The following is a 22,855-nucleotide window of genomic DNA, read 5'->3' on the forward strand; positions in this document are numbered from 1 at the left end:
ACTTCTGGGCTTTGGGTGTGCATCTAGCATGAGCACTGTCATTTAAGAAGTAATTACAGCACTGTTGAAAGTGACAACTTTTCCTTACAAGTCAGGGAAGAAAATCAGTCTCTTCACAAACCTGAGAGCACAAAGCACCATGGTCGTCCAGGCACCAAGAATATCGAGCTTTTTTTTTTAAAGTCCCTTTATGGTTTTCATGGGCATTCGTGATCCTGTCTATGTTGAATAGGTCAGGACAGAAAAGCAGGAACATAAGAGTGAGCAGAAGGCTCCTCATACCCCGCATGGGATGAAAATGGGCTGACATCCACCCTTCAGATGCTAAGCGGGTGCTTGTACAATTTTGTGTTGCGACGTATGGAACTTTACGTTTACGTTTAAAAATGAAAAGTATGTATGATGTATTCAAACTATGTCCAAAGTGCCGGACTGTATGATTTAACACAGGGTCCATTCACTGAACCCCCGGTGGCGCCAGGCATTGTGCTCGACTCTGCAGAAGCCTGTTATCGTCTCAGTGATTAATATCGTAGGTTAGGCAACCAGGCTTCAAACGTGTACCCACCCCTCACCAGTTGGGCAACTCTGGCCATTTATTTAATCTCATTGATGCTGTGTCCTTATCTGTTAAATGGGAATGATGCCAGTACCCGCCGTGCGTGAGGTGTGCAGTGTGAAAAGATTTTTAGAATTGCGAGTGCTAGGTAACTGTTGCTGCTGACGATTTGTGTATCTAAGAATGTCTGTGGAACTGCATGTTCCATGTGAAACTGTCTGGGATCAGGGCAGGCCCGTCTCAAGAGAGGGCACAGGGACACAAGGTATGCTTCCCCTTGCATAGCCGCCTGAAGCCATCCACAGGGGTCTGCGTCCAGGCCTACCTCAGTATAGACGATGGCCATCATCCAGAACCGGCGGCTGGGCCTGGGGACGGACAACATGGCCCAGAGGAAGATGAGGATGGGAAGCAGGAGCGTGATCATGGAGGCAGAGACCATGTGGTTGAGGATGATCACGAAGTAGCACACCATCTCCGAGCGGGCCACCAGGGTATTGTACATGGCATAGAAGAGCAGCAGAAATCGGGGCTGCCCCACGTAGAATTTCTCTGACTCTTCAAGCTCATCGTCGTGAAACATCCTGTTAAAGCAAACCACATGATAATATGTCTATTTTTTTTCTTCTTTTTGAGATGGAGTTTTGCTCTTGTTGCCCAGGCTGGAGTGCAATGGCGTGATCTTGGCTCACTGCAACCTCCGCCTCCCGAACTCAAGCCATTCTCCTGCTTCAGCCTCCTGAGTACCTGGGATTACAGGTGCCTGCCACCACACCCAGCTAATTTTTTTGTGTGTATTTTTAGTAAAGGGACAGTTTCGCCATGTTGGTCAGGCTGGTCTTGAACTCCTAACCTCAGGTGATCCACCCGCCTCAGCCTCCCAAAGTGCTGGGATTACAGGCATGAGCCACTGCGCCCGGCCATGCCTTTCTTTAATTTCTCCAAATTACTGATTTTCATTTAGCACCATCCTTCCTGCTGTGTTCCCGGCTTCCTGTTTTTCCTTCAGAGACAACCTAATATCAGACCTTATTATAGAAAGAAATGTCAACACAAGGCTCTGGGTTTTGCTGGTTCTAGAACCAGTCATGGTAGGAGCGAAGTTTGCTTTGTACTTGCAGTGCAAGAAGTCTTGGAATTGTCTGTTTGCTCTAAGTGTCCAGATGAACTTTTTTCTATATATGAATTTTTCTGTATACAGAATTAGGGCATTATGTTTAAGTGGTGATTTGGGGATATGTGTCTGATCTGTTCACTGGACCCTTACTTTTTCAGCAGCAGCTCGCTGGCCGTCAGCTCATGGGTCAGGGGAGGTAAGATGCTGGACCCCAGCTTGTCGGTGCGGCTGTCGTCCGGGCTGACTGCCATACGGTTCTTGCCTGCAGAGTCGTCCTGCGAGCCGAAGGACAGATGCTCGAAGCTCACAGCCTTGCTGTAGGAGGGTGGGGCCTCCACATCCCCGTCCAAGGTGGAGAACTGTGTCAGCTCTTCCTCTGGGGTGAGGCTGGCCTCCTCGGCACCCATGGCTCCCACATCGTACCCAGTGGCCTCGTACTCCTTGGCCTCCCTGGGCTCAGGCGCCGTGCTCCCTGCCTCCTCCTCCTGCTCAGCCTCCACCTCCTCGATGGTCTCAGTGGTCCCCTGGCGTGAGTACAGCATGGTACACTGCGTGGGCTCGCTGTTGGGAGAAAGCGTGGGCACAGAGCCCATGTCTTAGCATCCACACTCCTGGGGTTCTTTCCCATTCCTGAGAGACCTCATCAGAACTCCTAAGGAAATGCCCCATTTTCCCCCCTGCATTCCATCTGCTTTGTTCTTTTAGGATAATCACTCCTGTTCTGCAGCCACTGCAAACAGCAGCCTCTCCAATGCAAATGTTGACAGTGCACACACACAGTTTAGAACCAGAGCCAGTCACGTGGCTCTCAAAGAGCAAAACCCACCCCCGTAACAAGTGTGGAGTATCTAGATTCACAGCCTCGGGTTCCAGAGTCTGTTGCCATATCAACACAGCACAGCTTACCCACTGCTCTGTCTGCTTCAAGGAGGGGCATCTCTGGAGGGCAGAAGCTCTGAAGGTTTTGACCAAGAGCTAAGTCTTAGCAAATAGGTATTCTACCCTCCATCCTACACAACAGACCCACCCAGACCATAAGGGGGGAATGGGAATGGGAATGATTAAATATTGGCTATACTGAACAACTGTGTGCTTGATAAAAAATGCCACCCTTCTTTCATGTTTATTCTTCCACCCTGCTTTTCCATCCTTTGCCTTTTTTGCATTTCTGTGCATCCCGTCTGCGGAATCTCCACCCTCGTCCCAGCTCCCTGCACTGTGCCCAGGGCTTCCCCTTCCCTGTGGGACTCCAGCCACTCTCTTCCCACGCAAGCTCTCCTTGGCCCTTCTCCCTTCCAGCTGCCCACTCCACCCCAGGGTGCGCTTCTGTTCTCTCCTACCAACAACTTTACTTACTTTCTTCTACCAGTTCCTCTTTGAGTAGTCCTTTTCCAGAAGCTTCTCTACTCTCATCCTCACTCCCTGCCTTTGGCATTCTGTTCTTTTCTCTCATATCCTTTGTCTCCTTCTTTTGTTCCTTTAAACTTTCCCTGTCACGTCCATGCAGACAAGGTTGGCCAATGACAAGAGGGCAGCCAGTGACATTCATGGCTTGCTCTACCTCAGACACATCCAGCCACGGACGGGAGAGGGGCAAAACCCACCTGGAGATTGGGAATCTGTCTTGGATGTGGGAGGGTGACATGTTAGACTCTGAAATACGTACTCTTATCTGAATGGCACGTGTGACCACCAGGGTTCCATAAACACTGAGATTCTCAAATGCATAGACTGTACCCATGTTTCTTGTCACAGATACCAGTATAGACATATGGATGAATGAATGAATGAATGAACCTTGGCAGAGCGGCTCACGGCATCCTGTGACTGAAGAACCAGATTGGCCTGAGCTTTTGATGCCCGCTCAGGTGTTCAGAATCCCCAGGGCTGTGTCCTTGAGTGCGCACATCATGTACGGGCTGGTGAAATGCCAGCCCAAAACAGATTTTTGCTAAGACTTACCTCAATTAGATATACTTCCTAGGAGGGCCATGCCATTGACCCATTGCCCAGGGAACTTGCAGACTACTGGAGCCAACCCCGCACCAGGTCTCATGGCCAGTAAGACTGTCATCAGTCCTAATCATGCTCCCTTTGGTTTGGATCTCTTGTAGCACCAAGGGGTGGAGGGTACCTTCAGAGGTCAAGAAAATGGACTGGCATGGCAGGCACATGCCCGCCAGAGGACTTTGTCAAATGGCCAAGGCATTCCCATCAATGCCAGGTGTCAGCATACTGCAGGGATGCACCGAGATACACGGCTGCCAGTGAAAAGAAGATGCCCTCTGACTTGCCACCATGAGCAGTCAAAACGAAACTTGTCTTGGATTAGGCTGTTTTCGTGTCAGGAGAAACACAGTGTAGCTGCTGACTTCATTGTGCCCCCTCACCATCCTAAGGCAATTCAAAAAGAGTTTTCGGGTTGTATGCAAATAATTTTATTTCTAAATGAATACTGTTTTAGGGTAGGATTTGGGAGAACTTAAGCCACAGTATATTTTCCCCAAAATAAAAGTTATAGGCTACAAAGATGATGCATTCTGCTGCATAATATTCTTTTTAAAAACCAATGGTAAACTATATTCTGACTTTTATGTCAATTAGGCAGATAACATGCAGACTTATTTAATATTCACTAAAAATGACTACCTATGATAGATTTTTAGATTTTTTTCCTACTGCATGCATCTTTTGATTACATCAAGAGAAGAAGTTTTCTACCTTTGCAAACAGAGTTCCCCCTTTGAGTAGTGCCCTCAGAAGCTCTAAATTATGGAGGAAACATGCTTATGTCTCTGAAAATGGAAAGTTTGAAATACTGAAAACATGGAGGAGAATGTTTGTGATAAGGATTTTTAAAGAAACTCCTAACAGACAAAAACTAAAGAGCGGTTAGTTTAATATAATGCTGTCCTGAGAACAATTACATCTCACAGAGGGCAGTGGTGATTATGCTTCGGTTAGTCATGCAGATTCTTAAAATAAAAATGAAATAAAAACATACATCACAAGAACTTATATTTGCAGTGACATAAAGGGGGGGAAGAGGTGATTAAAATGACAGAACAAAGCATGCACAAGTTAAGCACCTTGATGCTAAACTGCCACTGTCAGCTGATGAGGAGGACATATCCATGCTGAGCATTTTACGGAGCCTAGGCCGAGCACGCTCGCTTGTTTTAGGAATTTCTTGTCCATCTAAATCATCAAGGGTGGACTGCCTTGAGAACAGCATGGTTGCTTCAGTGTAGCAGCTAGCAGCGCAAACAGTTACAGAAACACAGTGTTAAAACACCAAGTTGTACACAGGTTACACACGGATCAACTGACCAACACACTGCCATGCAGCAAACCACACATGACACCAACACCACCGACAAGGAAGGCCACCGCAGCGGGGCTCAGGGATGGGGATGGACCTGTGTGCAGGACCTTGAAACACACGAGTACTGGATTTTAAAAAACATATTGGCTAGTGACACATTACAAAATGGCACTCTCTGGGTGGGACTAAGAAACAGAAAAATGACAAGTCCCAATATTTTTCTCACAATGTATAATTTATGTAATTATAACTTCGTAACAGAGGGTTTCTTTTAAATGAAAGAAAATATGCTTTATTTGGAGCTTGCAGTCCTGAGTTAAGAGCATTTATTAACCAACTTGCTTGAACAGAAATAACTGCTCATGTAGAATTTACATAAAATATTTCAATCTTTTTTTTCTTTTTAACACGGTCTTCAGAATTAGAGAGGGGAAACTCAGGAATGACAACAAACTGAATTTTGCACCCCATTTTTGGAGTGATATTCAGTTAAGCCAAATGAGATGCTCTGCATGTAGTCGGGATGCTGGTTTAATATGCAGTGGATATAAACCAACATCAGAAATAAAATAAAAGGCTGTAAAGGAAAGAACAAAGGAACTTGAGCAATGGCAGAGTCATTTTGTCTGTTAACTTTTCATTTTGCCTAATTTTTCTTCTGGATCATGTTTTAGGGCTTGTTGGATGCCATGATGAAGAGAACCCACTGCCTAAAGCCCTCATCTCCTGGTACCCAAAGGAGCAGTGACTGGCGAGGGAAGATGGCAGATCCAGGCCTAGGATGCTGCTGGGTGAGGATGCTCATGAGAGGAGGCACACAGAGGTGTGACACACGCATAGTTTCAGTTCCCACACATGGCTCAACCCCAAAGAGGGACAGACAGCCCAAAGATCCTCTACAGAAAGCAACTGGAATACTTATCTTCCAACTTGTGTGCTCATGGGCTGGCTGACCCAGGGAACAGAAACAGATCTTTAGAGATATAGGTTGCCTGATTTCCAGGCTGAACGTGGTAGGCTGAACTCTGTCATCAAGTGAACTCACTAGGAGAGTACTAGGTGCCTGGCCTGCACAGCCATACACTGTTGGCCAAGGATCCTGAGGCAGAGATGGAAGACTTTCAGGATGCAATGACCACTGCAAGCCTGGGAGGAGCGAATTTGAGTTATTCACTCATGGAACCTGTTAAAAGAGTTTTTCAGGTCCCATGTGCTGGAGCACAAGCCATAACTGCTCCAGTGGGGCCGGCCATGCTGCTGTGCATGTTACAGCTATGTGACCAAGACAGGGGCAGCCAGTGAGGGCGATAAGCCTGTGAGCAACCAAAATACTCTCTAATAAGGACATTGAGGCTGTTTTGTTTTGTTTTGCCCTAACTCTTTTAGATGTCACAATGTCACCATGGCCTGGACAAAATGAGGAGACAATGACAAGATAAATTAGAAAAGCATTGGACGAACACAGTGAGGACTGGGATGCTGACATTAACTGGCTGTTGGGTTTTAGATGAATCAGTGCCCCTTTCTGGGGCCCCAATTTTATGTTTCTGAGATGAGGGGACTTCGCATTTCTGTATTTCATTTAATATTTGCAGAGATGCAACCCCATAGCCTGTGCAGTCTCCTGCAGCTTTGCTCAGGTTTTCTTCATGGGAACCGATGGTTCTAATTCAAAAGCCCTGTTTATCTTGTTAACTCTTGGATGGAGTTCTCAGAACCCACATAATCCCACACAGTTGGGTTCCCGGTAGGGCAACTAATACATCACACAATCCAGGACAGTTTAAAAGTGAATAGGAAGGGGAGGAAATGTATAAAAATAGGCCCCGACAGTAGGCCCAAGGGGACGGCTGCCATCACCTGCCTGACGGGCCCCCCCACTGCCAGCACCACAGGAACACACAGCAACCCCTCAGAGGACATATTTAAAATATTAACCACCTCCTACCTGGGAATGCCCCTCAGAATGTTAATTAATGTTTTCTGTGTTATCTGATTATATAAAGCAACCATTAAAAAATTTTTGCCATTTTACATCTGGATTTGAAAGAAACCGTGACTATTCTCGTAAGTCAAAGGGACTACAAATCCACTTGTTAGGATCCCACCCAGACTCTGTCTACTGTCTGCTTAAAGGTAAAATTCATGCCACTGGCCTCGGAGCAGGGGCCATGAAGGGCACTGGCCACACTGGGTGAGCATGACCTCACTGGGGAGTGGCAGCCTCCTGGCCACCAGACCCTTCCCAATGACTTCCACTGCAGAACCTCTTCTAGGGAGGGTTACTACCTTTCCAGCAATCAGCATGGCTCCCTGGAGACTACAGTGTAGACAAATGATGATTTGGAAATTAGAAATACAGCTCACTGCAGAAAAGGGCAAGTGAGGTAACTCCTTTACTGGCAACAAGATAGGCCCTATTCTGTCTCCCCTTTCTTTAGGTTGAAAAACAAAATAAAAATACATTAAAACCTAATTCTAAAGGTGCTGGTTTCCTACTAGTTATTGTATTTACTGACTGACCATTTTAAAACTGGGGGGATATTTTGACAGTCTTTGTCAAAAAGCAATCGATGAATTTAAATATCTCTTAACTCACAATTTTTTATCATGAGTGTGGTTTCCTATTTGCAATCTTAGGTCAGATTTAAAGGCAGTTACTTGAGTTTATTTTAACCAGTTGTTTTTCCTCCTTAATTGTGATTTATAATATTTAATTTCTTCATGGGGCATACTGTTCATTGTTATGTAGTTAAAAGTCATAAAGATGGGATTCACCTATGTTTATTTTATGAAAAATTTATTTTCAATTCACCTTTGAATATTCTCTGAGGCCACTGATTCAGAGTTTGGTTCTAGAGCATCTTTTTTCAAGCCAGGCTCATGTGTGATACTCAGGAGGCCTATAAAACCCTTGAGATTGTATGAAAAAAATTGTATCTTTGTATGATTTTTCCCTGTGGGAGACTATATGGCTTCATGAAATTTCAAAAGAGGTTCATTAAAAAATGTCACCAATTACTGTTAATGTCATCACAAATTAATGAAGAAAGGCAATTCTATTCATTACCCATTTCGCTTGCCACACTTGGGGATTCAGGTAACAAAAAAAAATCTCTGTATTACAAAATGAAGCAAGAAGGGAGGTTAAAAAAAGGCATTTGAAAAATTTTACAAATCACATGATGGGGCAGCATATTTTCTCGAAGAAAGATGCAAAGGTGCAATATTCAAACTCAATACTACGCATGTACGTGATCGTATTCTTCACCGCGCAGGAGGAAACGATTCCAGTTGAATATGATCATGACTTTTGGTTAAGTTCACTAGAGCTGTCTGAGCCTTTTATTTTAGAATTTAAAAGTAATAAAGACATAGTTTGGATCCGACCCAGTCCATATTGGATATATACAGAGCAGTACAGTCCAAAGCTGAGAGCAGTGGGATGCGTGTGAATGTTACACAAAAATAAATGAACAAACAAATAAAAGAAACATCATTTGGGACATTTACGTGTAGAGAATCTCAGCATTTCTTTCATCCTATCATTCTCTTGGTTTTTGAAAAAGGGTTGTTTGATCATGAATAGTTCCTACAGCGGGTAGATTTAGAAATGTTTAGATTCCCCAATATCCCTTCGTTCACCCTGTAACTAGGAAGCAGCACCAGTCAGCATCTCGAGTGCTCACCACATTCAGACAAGTCTTGGCTCCCCACCCACCCTGCTGCACAAACCTGCAGGCTTTCACAGACTTGCCCATGCAGGGTCCCTCTAGGATTAAGGGAGGACCTAGCTGGACTACTTAAGAGCTTAGGTAACATGGAGCTAGACACGGATTTTAAGTTTTAGCGTTAAAATGAATTAAGTATATTGAATTAAATTAAAGAGAGAATGATTCAGTTTAAATACAATGATCAATAGATAGGGAGACGATTGTTGCAATAAGAATGAATTTAATACATCTGGAAGCTTCTAAATAGAACAGTTATAATAGCTTTCAAAAAGTAAAAATAAAATTCAAAATAAAGAATGACTTTTTGTCTGAATGGAATCTGTCAAAGAAGAAGACAGAAGCTCCCCTTTCAAAATGTTGATTGTGGGAGGTTTTCAGGAAGACACAGTGACGCTCTGGTAACACTCACCAGTGGAAGGATATGATATTAAATGTTCTCTTTGTAACTTTGATATTACTAATGGTTTCAGAAATTAATAATTGAGAAATGTGCATATTCTTGGGTAGAAAGACACTGAAAAAGAAAGTTTTATGATGACACAGTTTTCCAATAATCAGTCATTTTATTCTATGAATTAAAACTTTAAACCAAATCTCAATTAGGAAATACATGTTTGACCTTGAAATCATAACGAGTTTCTGTCCTAAATGTTTCTTCTTTCCATAAAAATATACAATAATAGATGAAATATCTGTGTCTTTGGAACTCATAAATAAGCAAAGATTATTAACCAATTAAAAGAAAAATATAGTCTCTTTTATTATCCCTCAAAAGACTTTAAAAGAATCAATACCTATTTTAGGGGAGCAGGCAGGGATACACCCATGCACAGTGTTATCTGCACGAATATTACTTCTAAATCAATCTAGGCATGAATATATATATTTTAAATTAGGCTTAGCATACATCTTATTTTAAAACTTGGATTTTTACTAAATATATGTATATATTTTACTGTGTATATATATCACAAAGATCTTTTCATACCAATAAATATGGATCTGCCTCAATAATAATTATTGGGTAGCAAAATAATTGGCATAATTAGAGAGGCTCAAATACAGGAATGCAGCAACAGTTAATTAGCACTTTAGGGCAAAACTTTTTGGTTTTTTTTTTACCCACATTCCTCACTCAGTTTGTAATTCCAACATCCAGTTGTCTATTTTGGGTTTGATATCAATAAAATGGTCTCAGCTCCGTCTCCTATTTCATCTGGAAATATATCCAGCATTTGTGAAGGACAAATACTTTTCCAGGTCATTAGTGCCTCGCTCTAAAGTGTGACTCTAAAGCCATCCAGGAGTTTCTGACCAGCAGTCAGAGACACCAGTCTCTACTGTCCTCCCCAGGGCAAGCATTTTAGGAGGGAATGGCCTTATCTCAGTTCTTCCTAGGCTCAAACCATTTAGGGGATTACTCTTATCTTTATATGCCTCTCCCAGAATAGAGCCCAGGGCTTGGCACAGAATAGCTGATACTCAACATGTTTAATGAAAAACATAAAACATGAATGTTCTCAGTGATACAATTCTTTACCCATGAAGGTGGCTATAAGGTGTAATTCATTTGGTCTAGCGCTTCACCCTAACAAGGCGATTTTTCCTCCTAAGACAGGGACTTCTGCTTTAATTTAGAATCTAGCTCTGTACAATTGTTATCAGCTATCTAGAACACTGTGATGCAAAGAATTCTGAGGCTTTTCTGGGACAGGCAGTAAGTTGGTCTGCGGTGCAGGAAGAGGCAATGAGAGACAGCATACTAGGGTGGTTGAGAGCTTGGGTTCTGAGCTAAACCACATGATTTTGGATTGCGGGTCCGCTTTTATATACATCCTAGCTGTGTGACTTTGGGTATGTTTCTTAATCTCCCTGTAACCGAATTCTGTCTTTGCAAAACAGGGATAATAATAGCATGCATCTCGTAGGGTCTTAGAGGATAAAATGAGGTAACCCAGGTACAGTGCTTAGTGCTGGCCCCTGGCGAACCCATTAGTACTGTGTCATCTGACAATCCTGTTGTGAAACAATGCATACAATAGTAAACTCAGAGAAGATGGAAGCTAACAGAATACTTTTTGGGAATTTTTATCATAAAACTTAAGGTAACAATTCTGAAGGGAAAGATCAAGGATAGCAACAGAAGTAGAAGACCCTAATGTAGAAGACACTGTGGATCGGCTATCTTGAAAGGCACTAAAGATGTCCCACAAATAATAACTTTGGGGTTGGGAGGGATCATTCTTCCTTGCCTCCAGCCTGGAAATCTCTATACTGTGCCTTTGGGTCACACAGGTATAGCTAATAGTGTCTTATTGATATCTGCTTTTATTTGGTTCCTTCTAGGTGAGGACAATGTTCCTTATAGTTTGTTGTACAGATGGCGACAGCTGGAAGAGGGTGGGGGTCCATGCATGGTTTTGATGAACTTTCACCTCACACATTCATTTCTTATATTTGATGACATCCACCTCATTTACCTTTGTCAAAAGTAAACCCATTGTTAGAAAGTGAAATACCTGGAGATACTGTCATGTGAATCTAAACTATCCATCCTGTGGGCTGTCTGTGCACCTGAAGCAGCTCCGGGATGCTCGTCAATGGTGTCCAGTCCCGACTCTCTGGAAAGGTTCATGATGTGGTTCTGATAGTACATGTGGATGCTCTCCCGAGTTGGAACATTGCCCTGAGGAGAATGAGACATTGCCACAGTTCTTATGGAGGCATCTACCTGTATAGCCACCTGGCATTTCTCAACACAGACAGCTTTTCATACCCATGCATGCCTGGATAAGGATTAGGACCATGCTAGGCAAGTGGGGATTGATGTCGACTCATTTCATAAGTGGTTTCCAACATTACTAGGTAGATCTAAGTAAATGTCTTCTTATAGGTAGATAATTTTGCCAAATCATAGTAACCTTTCAAGATATGAACTATTATTTTAAAATACAGTCTTTAAACCATATATTTTGTTATTCTGCGTATGTCCTACTTTTTATTATAAAAAAGTTTTAGATCAAACTTTCCAGACTTCAGTGATCAGGTGGGAGAAAACAAACACCACTTTCTACACTTTCTAGACTAAAACTATAATTCTCTATTAGATATAGGGATATAGAACAAGGCAAAGTCTGTACACCTGCAAACTGTGGTGAGGGGAGGGATAGGATGAATAAAGTTGCCATTCTGTGACGTGTGTGTGTGTAGGTGCATGTGCATGACATTTAATTATTTTAATTCTTAGTGTGGAATAGATTTAAATATACAGAAAAGCAAAGGGGTTATGCCACAACTGCCTGGAAAGAAAGGGCTTTGTCTTATCCTACCTGGAGTTTTGGACATTGACTTTTAATGTCTTCTTAATGTGGGAAGGAGCAAAAAGAATTACACCAGCAGTGTTACCTTCTTAATTTCTCTGGTCAGCATGCATCGTTCAATTCTCAGAACTGTAGATATATCAATATGCTCCCTTGAAATGGAGTTAAGCCAAGTAGTGAAACTGTCCACTGTTGCCAGAAATAGGACCCAGGTAAATTTCAAAATATTAAATATCCTCTTGATGATATTATCTAGGAGGAAGAAAGGCAACAAGATGTTAAAGGAACAAAATACCATTGATTTTACTTTTGTGTAGCCCAGCGATGTTTTACCAAAGCTGGACCTGGCTCTTGGCCCGTGCATCTAATAAGGCATGTGACTCAGATACTCATGACGCACGGAGGAGAGCTGCCATGCAGGAAGCTTTTGTGGGGCTTTGCACACACGCAGTGGCAGACCAAATCAGGATAGAACTTGTAATCTTTAGTGGAAACAGAAAGCAGGGCGGCTCCCTGTGCAGCTGACCCTTGAACATGGGTTTGGACAGCGTGGATCCACTCTACGCGTGGATTGTTTTCAGTAAAAGTTACTCCAAATGTGCCTGCCTCTTCTGTTTCCCCTTCCACCTTCTCTCCTCCACCTCTGCTGCCTCTGCCACCCCTAATACAGAAAAACCAACCCCTCTTCTTCCTCCTCCTCCTCAACCCACTCAAGGGAAGGACGATGAGGATGAGAGCTTTATGATGGTCCACTTCCATTTACTGAATAGGAACTATATTTTCTTTCTGATTTTCTTCATGACATTTTCTCTAGCTTCCTTATATAATATGTGTATATAGTGACATCTGATGTTCTGTGTGACAATTTCCCACCTGTGCTGTCACTACCCTGGTGACACCCAAACCTCAAAACCATGTCACACCTAACAGTCTTCCATGAGGTACATTTAAGAAGCAAGGAAAAGAGCGGGTATCTTTTGCTGAGCAAGGAGGCACAGGAAGAGAACGGCCGCTGCTTGAAGCTGAATGAAGTGAGTCGCTGTGGCCGCTGAACAGGAGATGCCACGAGCACCTATGTTTCCCTCTCCGCCCCTCCTCACATCCTTTATAAAATCTCAAGCAAGGTATGTATTTCTCACAATCATTCAGATAGAGCCTCTAGCTGCTCTGTGTAGACATAAAGGGGAAGCTTGGCTCTGGAGGATGAAAGGCTTGGAGTTACACCCATCAATGAACTTTAGGAGCTCCTTATATTTTCGACATGTATTTTCTCATACCCACAATTGTTTTCTTAGAAATGATGAAGGTGAACATTATTACGGCGTGGTTTTGCTACAGTGGGCCTGATTGTAAGGCTGCAGCCACCGCACTGGAGACGTGAATCACAGGCGCTTTGTGAACCTGGGTGACGACTCACCAACAGGGAAAGTGAGGACTCGACTTTAACCACAGGGGCAGTAGGGCACAGTGGTTAAGAGCACACACTCTGGATTCAGACTCCTTGGGTTCAAATCCCAACTCTACTCTTTAGTGGTTCTATAGGCTTGGTTAATACAACTAAGAGGTTAAGTCGGTTAATCTCTCTCTGCCTCAGTTCCCTGTTTTGAGAGAGTTAAACAAGTTAATATACTCCAAACTCTCGAAAAAGTGCCTGAGAAACAAGACATGTGATCTGAAGTGTTGGCAGCTGTTACGGTGTGAGGCTTTGCAGCAATAAGAGTGTCCAGGTCCACATATATGTGTGTCCAATGACCTAGAATTGGAAGACTGGGTTTGAGGACTGGCACGGTGGAGGGCATTAGGTGGCCTTCCGTAAGTCTCCTTTCGTGCCAGCAGAGGGGAGGCTTGGAAGCATTTGTGTGGGGACATAAAGAGCCTGACGCCTGGCCTGCTGATAGATAACCACAAAGGCGCTCCAAAGCAGACGAAGAGATAACCGCATAGGCGCTCCAAAGCAGACGAAGAAATGGCATGATTAGAGAGGGCTAGAGAGCATCGAGTTCATTTCATTTGGAGGCTTTGGCCTTTTTTTCTTCCTGCATAAAGATACCTTCCTCCAAATCACATACTATGAGGAGCCCAAATGGCACTGTGGCTGGACTGGCAGTTAGAAGACAAGGGTTCTATCCCTGACTCTCTTACTTATCTGTGGAATCCAGAACAAGTCACCAACTCACTGAGCTTGGTTTTCCCCTCCTAAAATGAAGAGTTTGGCCCTAACCTTCTAGAGTATCACTAATTTTGCCAGTCCTACTTCTCTCTCATTTACCTCCTCCTCTCTGTGTTTTTTAAAAATAATTGCCAGTATTTTTTGTGTGTGCCTTCATTCTGACGGCTTCCATGGGACATTAAGAATTTGCTCCCTAAAAGCCTCTTTCATAGGTGCTTGCATAAAGGAATTTACAAACTGACACTAATTCAACATTTTATCCAACTGCATAAAGTCCAGACCTACTTTTAAGAGTCATTTTGCAATTTCAGTGGAGATGAGATTCCAAGGGATACTGATTATTTACTCATAGTCCAGAAAACAGTGTTCGATTCACAATTTTTCAGGCAGCCTTCCATTATATACGATCTGGGCAGGTATCATTTTCAAAGTTCCCACAGCTCATATTTGTCTTTATTTTGTTACCTGGTCCATCGGATTTCTTTTTGATTGGTTCATCCTCCCGGTCTTCCCATTCCACAGGACCTGCCAAGTGTGTTCAATAAAGATGAGTTAAATTCCATCTAGGGTAAATTAAATGCCAATGTTACTCTTCTAGATTAAAAGGAATTTTGTAATTAACTCTAGGACATTCTATTTCAAGAGTTCCTTGGGGAAAGGTTGTTAGAATTCATAGCTCTTAGATTATTTTACTCCATGCCAGCATAAAAATTATGTAAATCAAGGATGTGTAAACTACATTCGCTGGTGGGTACCGGCCAGTACTCGTGGGCTGACTGTTGCCAAATGGCCTGTGAGTTCAGAATGGCTTTTATATTTCTAATAGTTGAAAAATCTAAAGGAGAATAGTATTTGGTGCATGTGAAAATTATGTGAAATTAACAGTCATGCCCATTTGTCTGTATATTATCTATAGCTGCTTTTGCCCTATAATGGCAGATTTGAGTTGCAACAGAGACTTCATGAATAGTAAACCTTAAAATATTTACTATCAATGCTGGGTGCAGTGGCTCATGCCTGTAGTCCCAGCACTTTGGGAGGTTGAGGAGAGAGGATAGCTTGAGCCCAGGAGTTTGAGACCAGCCTGGGCAACATATAGAAAATCAAAATATTAGCTGGGTGTGGTGGTGCGCACCTGTAGTCCCAGCTATTTGGGAGGCTGAGGGTGGGAGGATTGCTTGAACCTGGGAGCCGTGATTGTGCCACTGCGCTCCAGCCTGGGCAAAAGAGTGAGACCTTGTCTAAAATAAATAAATAAATAAATAAATAAATAAATAAATAAATAAATAAATTTGCTATGAGGTTCTTTATAGAAAATGGTTGTCATATCTTAAAATGACATTATAGGATTTCATTTCATTTCATAGCCTCTTATTTAAGGCTAAAAAGGTCAGATCTAGCAAATGAAAGTGCAAGATAACCAGTTAAATTTGAATGTAAGATAAACAAGAAATTTTAAATTTAAGAACATTTAAAAATATATTTAGGAGAGATAAGTGCAGATTCCTTACAAGCACATATTGTGTCATGGTAAAGTCTGGGATTCTGGTGTACTCATCACCAAATGGCAAACATTGTACCCAACAGGTAATTTTTCAACCCTCAATCCCCCTGTCCCCAACTCTCCCGCATTTGATAATCTCCAGTGTCTATGACTGCCCTCCGTATGCCCATGTGCACCCATTGCTTAGCTCCCACTGATAAGTGAGAACATGAGATATTTGACTTTCTGCATTCAGTTAGGATAATGGCCTCCAGTTCCATCCATGTTGCTGCAGAAGACATGATTTCATTCATTTTTATGGCACAGTAGTATTCCATGACATATACATATATATCATTTTATTTATCCAGTCCTCCGTTCATCAACGGACACTTAGGTTGATTACATATTTATGCTATTGTGAATAGTGCTACAATAAACATGTGAGTGCAGGTACCTTTTTAATATAATGATTTTCTTCCCTTTGAATATATATGTAGTAGTGGGACTGCTGGATTGAAGGGTAGTTCTATGTTTAGTTCTTTAAGAAATCTTCATTTTTTTTGAGGTTTTAATTTTATTTATTTGGGTACCAGTGATTGATTCCAAATAAACCTTTTTACAAAAAGGATATAAGGTGGTTTAGGGTTACATATGAAATATAGAAGGATAACAGGTAGATGAGAAAGTAAAATGAAAAAATCAGGTTAGGAGACACAAAATAGACCCAGGGATGAGGCTAGAACATTTATAATTTGGTGTTGATGCTGTCATCTGATAGAGGATGTTGTCATACTGTTGCTCTGAGGAAGTACATCTTGAGAATTTTCAAATAATGACGTGAAGTTTGAGGTAGGTATCTTAAATCTTCATATTTTTAAAGTATAAGTATGTTCCATGAAATATGTCCAGATTATACTTAAGCTAAACATTATTTGTTATGTTAAAAACTCAAACTGGGCTTCATATATAGAGAGAGGATATATATATGTATATATGAATATATGTGTGTGTGTGTATATATATATATATGGAGCCCAGGTAATATAAAGAGAGAATACATATATCATATGTATATTCTCTCTCTCTGTGTGTATATATATATATATAATATATATATCTCATATATATGTCCTATATATATTCTGTGTGTGTGTGTGTGTGTGTGTGTGTGTGTGTGTGTGTGTATGTGTATGTGTATGTATATATATATATATATATATATATATATATATATATATATATATATATATATATTAGAGTCAGGTCTTGCTCTGTTGCCCAGGTTGGAGTGCAATGGTGTGATCATAGCTCACTGCAGCCTTGACCTCCAGGGCCCAAGTGATCCTCCCTCCTCAGCCTCCCAAGTAGCTAGGACAAGTGTGCAACACCACACCTGACTATATTAAGAAAAAATCTTTTTAGAGATGTTGCTCGGGCTGGTCTCAAACTCCTGGGCTCAGGTGATCCTTCTACCACAGCGTCCCAAGTTGCTGAGATTACAGGCATAAGCCACAGCTCCTGGCTCAGTTTCCTGCATTTTATCTGGTTACCCTATCTAAGGTTATTCATGATCTGACTCCAAGAATCTTCTCAAACTTATTTTCTGCCATCCTCTTTACTACTGCTGCTCCACATCCGGTCTTGACCAGCTAAGCTGACCTGCTCTTTATTTTTTATGCATGGGCTTGCTTTCTTCTGCTAGAATGTCAGGCTGTGTACAAATACTCCCTTCTTCATGGAGCATTCCCTGAAGACATACTTGGCTACAAGAAATCCTTTCTCCCTCAGGTCCCACATTAATTTATCTCTACTTTTTAAAATGGAACTTTGCAGTTTTGATATCATTAGGAATTTTTTCCCTATACTTATCTTGCCTACCAGTTACAATGAAAGGCTTTAGAACAAAGAAGTCTAGTAGGAATTTCAGACCCACTACTCACTGAATGGCTGTGTGACCTCCGGCAAGTTGCTTCATTCTCTGGGACCTTATTTGCTCCTCTGTAGAGCAGGGATAATAAAATGACCCTGTGCTGTTGCAAGGATCGAGTTAGTTACTACAGTATACATAAGGCACATATGACAACAGCTGGCACTTCAGAAGAATGGGATCCATGTGCTTCATCTATCTGGAAGACATGACGCCTCGTACCAAGAAAGTGCTGAGTAAAGATTCATTAAAAGAGTATCTTTAAGTTATTGCTGTCTTTGATTGGTAGGTTAAGAGTGCTGCCTGTGCACAATAAATAATCTTTATGACACAGAGCAAGGAGCTATTTTCAAGATGACCAAAGAACAAATTTTTGTTCTGATCCAAACATTCCGGAAGGACAAATGTCTGAGAACAGCAAACACAATTCTGAAAAAAAAAGGTAGTGAGAGGAGTTTGCCTCACTAAAAATTAAAACGAACTCTATAGTTACTAGACTCAACAGTATGTGGCATTGACTCAAAGCGAGACAATACAAGGGAAGATCAAAATACAGAGTCTGAAAACACACCCGAGAAGAAAGAGAGCCTAACACTGACAAATGAGGCATTTAAATCCAGTAGGAAAAGGATGAATCATCTTAATAAACTGGAATAACGTAATTGTCTATCCATCTAAAAGTGAACAAATTAGATCTCCACTTCATAGAATAAAAATTTAAGACGTAGCCAGGTGCGGTGGCTCATGCCTGTAATCCCAGCATTTTGGGAGACCGAGGTGGGAGGATCACAAGATCAGGAGATCTAGACCATCCTGGCCAACATGGTGAAACCCGGTCTCTACGAAAATACAAAAAATTAGCCAAGTGTGGTGGTATGTGCCTGTAATCCGAGCTACTCAGGAGGCTGAGGCAGAATTGCTTGAACTCGGGAGACGGAGGTTGCAATGAGCTGATTTTGTGCAACTTCACTCAAGCCTGGCAACAGAGCAAGACTCCATCTCAAAAAAAAAAAAAAAAATTAAGATGTAAGTAAAATTAATAGAAAATCTGGGAAACATCTGCATCATATTTGGGAGGAGAGACTTTTTTTTTTTTTTCCTGAGGCAAAGTCTCACTCTGTCACCCAGGCTAGAGTGCAGTGGTGCGGTCTCAGCTCACTGCAACCTCCACCTCCCAAGTTCAAGTGATTCTCCTACTTAAGCCTCCCAAGTAGCTGGGATTACAGGTGCGTGCCACCATGTCCAGATAATTTTTTGTATTTTTAGTAGAGACAGGGTTTCACCATATTGGCCAAGCTGGTCTCGAACTCCTGATCTCGTAATCTGCCCCCTTCGGCCTCCCAAAGTTCTGGGATTACAGGGTGAGCCACCGTGCCCAGCCAAGAGACTTTCTTAAAAGCAAGATGGAAACCTGGAAACTGCAAGGGGAAATTTAGACCCATTTGACACAAGAAAAAAAATAAAAATTGCTTAGACCACATATACCATAACTAAATCAAAATATAAGTCTTGGGTTGGAAAAAATATCTGAAACATACAAAAAAGGGATAATCTCAAATTGCACTGAAATTGGCACACTGGTCTAAAGTTTATGGAAGAAGTCTGAGCTAACGTATTTAAAACCACGAGAGTGGATGAGAACACCTAGCGGGTGAACATAAATGAAGAAGTTTCCATAGACAAGTCCTGGAATATTACAGTGTTAAGAGGTCAGGAAGGTAAGAATGACCAGCAAGGCATGAGAACTGGAGAACTAAGTTCGAGTGTGTTTGGAAAACCAAGTGGACAGCATGTGTCCAGGATGCAGTGATTTTTTTTTTTTTTTTTTTTTTTTTTTGAGACAGAGTTTTGCTCTTGTTGCCCAGGCTGGAGTGCAATGGCATGATCTTGGCTCACCACAACCTCTGCCTTCCGGATTCAAGCGATTCTCCTACCTCAGCCTCCCAAGTAGCTGGGATTACAGGCATGGACCACCACACCCAGTTAATTTTGTATTTTTAGTAGAGATGGGGTTTCTGCATGTTGGTCAGGCTTGTCTCAAACTCCCGACCTCAGGTGATCCGCCCACCTTAGCCTCCCAAAGTGCTGGGATTACAGGCGTGAGCCACCGCGCCTGGCCTCCAGGAGGCAGTGATTAACTGTATTGGGTGCTGATCAATATGAAGGTCATTGCTGGTCATTGGTGACCTTGATCAGATCAATTTGGATGGAGAGCTGGGAATAAAAGGCTAATTGGAGTGGATTTAAGAGAGAACGGGAAAGAAGGAACTGGAGACTGGGTATAGATGACTCGAGGTATGTGCTGCAATAGGAGCAGATGGAGGGAGATGTAGTGGGGCTGTAGCTGGAGGAGGGTGGGTACTAGTGAGGGTTTTGTTTTGTTTTTTAAGATGGAGAAATAACAGCATGTGTTTATGCTGATGGAAAGACTCCAGTAGAGAGGAAGAGATTGATGATGTAGGAGAGAGGAGAAATGCTGGAAGGGAGTTGCTGACCAGACAAGGGAGCTCGGCAGCTGGAGCCTCTCCAGGCAGTCTCTGGGGGGAGACGGGATTGGACTGAGTCCTGGAACAGAGTTGGGGTGAGCGCCCTGTCACTGGCCTTGGATGACCACTCGAAAGATCCCTCAGATAGGGGACAAGGCAGAGATTGGCTTGGATTTGCTGAAGCTTCCCTCTGCTCCCCAAAAGCAGATTCCAATTTGGATTTCAACAGATGGCTCAGAGGAGAGAGGGTATTCTGGGGGGTACTGGCATAAGCATGGGGCCCTCAGACATTCAAATTGACTGAGGAAAAATGGGCAAGAGGATGTGGGTAAAGCCAGGTGGGTGGGCAGGGGTGGCACTGAGAAGATGCCATAGGCAGAAGGCAGCCCCTGAGGCCTTCTCACCTACCTAATCAGCCCAGGCAGCTGTGGCTGCACTGTACCACCTCCCAGATTAAGTGAGTGCTGAGCACAGAGATTAGAATCATGAATAAGGGGCTCAGTCCTTGCCTTCAGGAGCTCAGGCTTAGAGGATTCCAGTAACCACCATCTAGGTGGGTGTTTAAAACTCTTGCTTTCCGCTGGACATGGTGGCTCATGCGTTTAATTCCAGCACTTTGGGAGGCTGAGGTGGGAGGATCACTTGAGGCCAGGAGTTGGAGGCTGCAATGAGCTATGATCATTGCACTGCACTCCACCTTGGGTGACAGAGCAAGACCCTGTCTCAAAAAACAAAAACGAAAACAAAAGTGCTTTCTCCTGGCCCAGCATACTTGGGTGAAGTCTGCTGGAGGCAATGCATGCTGCAGCCAATCAGACCCCTGGTAGCAGAGCCTGGGCCCACCAAAGGCAATGCGGAGTACAGGGCCTGCTGGTCCTCTGGTCACACCCACTCATGCTGGTCTCCACATACCCTTCTGTGTCCCCAGAAGTCGACAGTGTGGGGAGTTGGAGTGACCCAGCTGGATGTGACCCCCAAGACAGAATGGTGCTGGACTCGGGGTCTCAGGCGTATGATCAGGCACCCACCAGCCCACCTACCAGTCTGCTGTCCCTGCGTCATAGGCTGAAGCACTCAGACCGAGATGGGCCACCACTGTACCCCTGGTCTCAGTCCCTGGCCTTGCCCGTGGCTCTGGCAGTCCCCCCAGCACTGCAGCCCCAGCCTGAGCAGCAGTCGTTCTCACAGATGCACCTGGGCCACGGCGGCCACATGCGTCGCAGTGAGAGCACCTACTCTGTAAATAGTACTGGCCGGCGGGGGCGTGGCACCCTGGGACAGCCTCCACCTGGACGGCGATGGAACCCAGGTGGGCGCACCCTGCGGCCTGCAGCCTCCCTGCCTCACATTACTAAGACTCAAAGCGATGCAGGCCATAGTGCCAGCAAGAGCCCCTGCATGTTGGTGGCCCTGCGGCCAACCAACGTGGACCGTGAGGGAGACAAGTTCTTTCAGTCGCATTACACCTACAATCCACAGTTCGAGTACCAGGAGCCCATGCCTATGGCTGTGCTGAAGTACTGCGAGGCCTCTGGACAGTTCATCCATCAGGCAGTTGGCATCATTGAGGCTGTTCTGGAGAAGTTTGGAACCTACGAACACTTTGAGGCTGCCACCGGCAGGCAGCTGCTCACCAAGTGCCAGATATGGTCCATTGTGGGTAAATACAGCAGAAGGAGGGCTGCGTCGAAGAGGTTGTGGTGCAGCTGAGTGAAGACCTGCTGTCCCAGGCGGTGATGATGGTGGAGAACAGCCGGCCCACATTGGCGGTCAACCTGACCAGAGCCCGCCAGTACTGGTTGGAGGGCATGCTGTGGCATGAAATAGGTCAGGGTGTGGGTATCCGGGTGGATGGGTAGGCATGAAAGGGGCCTGGGAGCTGGGAGTCGTGGGAAGGAGGGGCCCCACTAACTCCCCCTTTTGTTTCTCCCCTGTCCCTCCTGAGGTCGGGGCTTTCCCTTCCTGAGCAGCCGCCTCCGCCCTCTGGCTCACAGAGGTAGGCCAGAACATGCCTGCCCACGCTCTGGGCTCGCCTTCATCTCTTGGTCCTTTCGGGTATATTTTTCTCTCTCCACTTCCTCTCCGACTTCTCTCCACAGTGGCGGCAGGGCTGGTGAGGCCCTGACAGGCCAGAGGGAGAACGCTCAGGGTCCCACCAGGCCAACCACCACGCGGGCCCTCCAGGGTGGATGGAAGGCCAGATCCTGGGAATGGACTTGGCTTGAGGACACACGGCGCCTGGTTTAGGAGGCGACTGGCCAGGCTGGGCAGGAGGGTGCAGGGCACTAACCACTATTTCTATCTGTCTGTCCCTCTTCATCGAGAATCCTGTTGCTCTGGGCAAGAGGTGGTTTTTACCGAAGGCATCAGCGTGACTGTTCAGAATAATATGGGCACCCAGGATGTTGGGCAGGGTGGTATATGTATTCTTGTGTCCAGGAGGGCTGGGGGCAATGTCAGTTCGGGAGAGTTCGTGCACGTGTGTGGGTGCGTGGGTGTAGGGTGGTGGGGGGATGGGTGGGAGAGGATTCATATATGTGAGCAACTGTGGATCCTTGGGTGCGAGTCCACCGGAGGAGGGGCTTCACGCTGCCTGGGGCTGGAAGAGCTTGTGTGCGAGCCTGTGTTCGGGAGCATGAGAATGGAAGCGTCGCGGCCAGAGCCCCGGCCAGGTGGAGCAGGTGGGTCCCCGAACGCCCCGCCCAGCGCTGCCTCCCTTCGCCTTCCCCGC

At 44.2% G+C, this 22,855-nt stretch overlaps 1 protein-coding gene and 1 pseudogene across 11 annotated transcripts in view; one reads left to right on the forward strand and one right to left on the reverse strand.

Annotated features, from left to right (window-relative positions):
- PIEZO2 (piezo type mechanosensitive ion channel component 2) overlaps positions 1 to 22,855 on the reverse strand; it is a 479,323-nt gene that overhangs the window by 33,263 nt on the left and 423,205 nt on the right. For 10 of the 11 annotated variants that reach the window (XM_047437735.1, XM_017025918.3, XM_047437736.1 and 7 more), the window contains 5 exons: positions 14,691 to 14,750; positions 12,141 to 12,307; positions 11,255 to 11,421; positions 1,827 to 2,237; positions 885 to 1,143 (listed from right to left, as the gene is read on the reverse strand). In XM_047437735.1, coding sequence (XP_047293691.1) covers positions 885 to 1,143; positions 1,827 to 2,237; positions 11,255 to 11,421; positions 12,141 to 12,307; positions 14,691 to 14,750 — 1,064 coding nt within the window. Of the gene's footprint in view, positions 1 to 884; positions 1,144 to 1,826; positions 2,238 to 4,765; positions 4,931 to 11,254; positions 11,422 to 12,140; positions 12,308 to 14,690; positions 14,751 to 22,855 lie in introns of all 11 variants that reach the window. The other variant, NM_001378183.1, reaches the window with a different exon arrangement.
- On the forward strand, positions 21,051 to 21,952 carry KIAA0895LP1 (KIAA00895L pseudogene 1; annotated as a pseudogene).

Source organism: Homo sapiens, chromosome 18 (genome assembly GCF_000001405.40).
Source record: "Homo sapiens chromosome 18, GRCh38.p14 Primary Assembly".
In the NCBI taxonomy this organism is placed as follows: domain Eukaryota; kingdom Metazoa; phylum Chordata; class Mammalia; order Primates; family Hominidae; genus Homo; species Homo sapiens.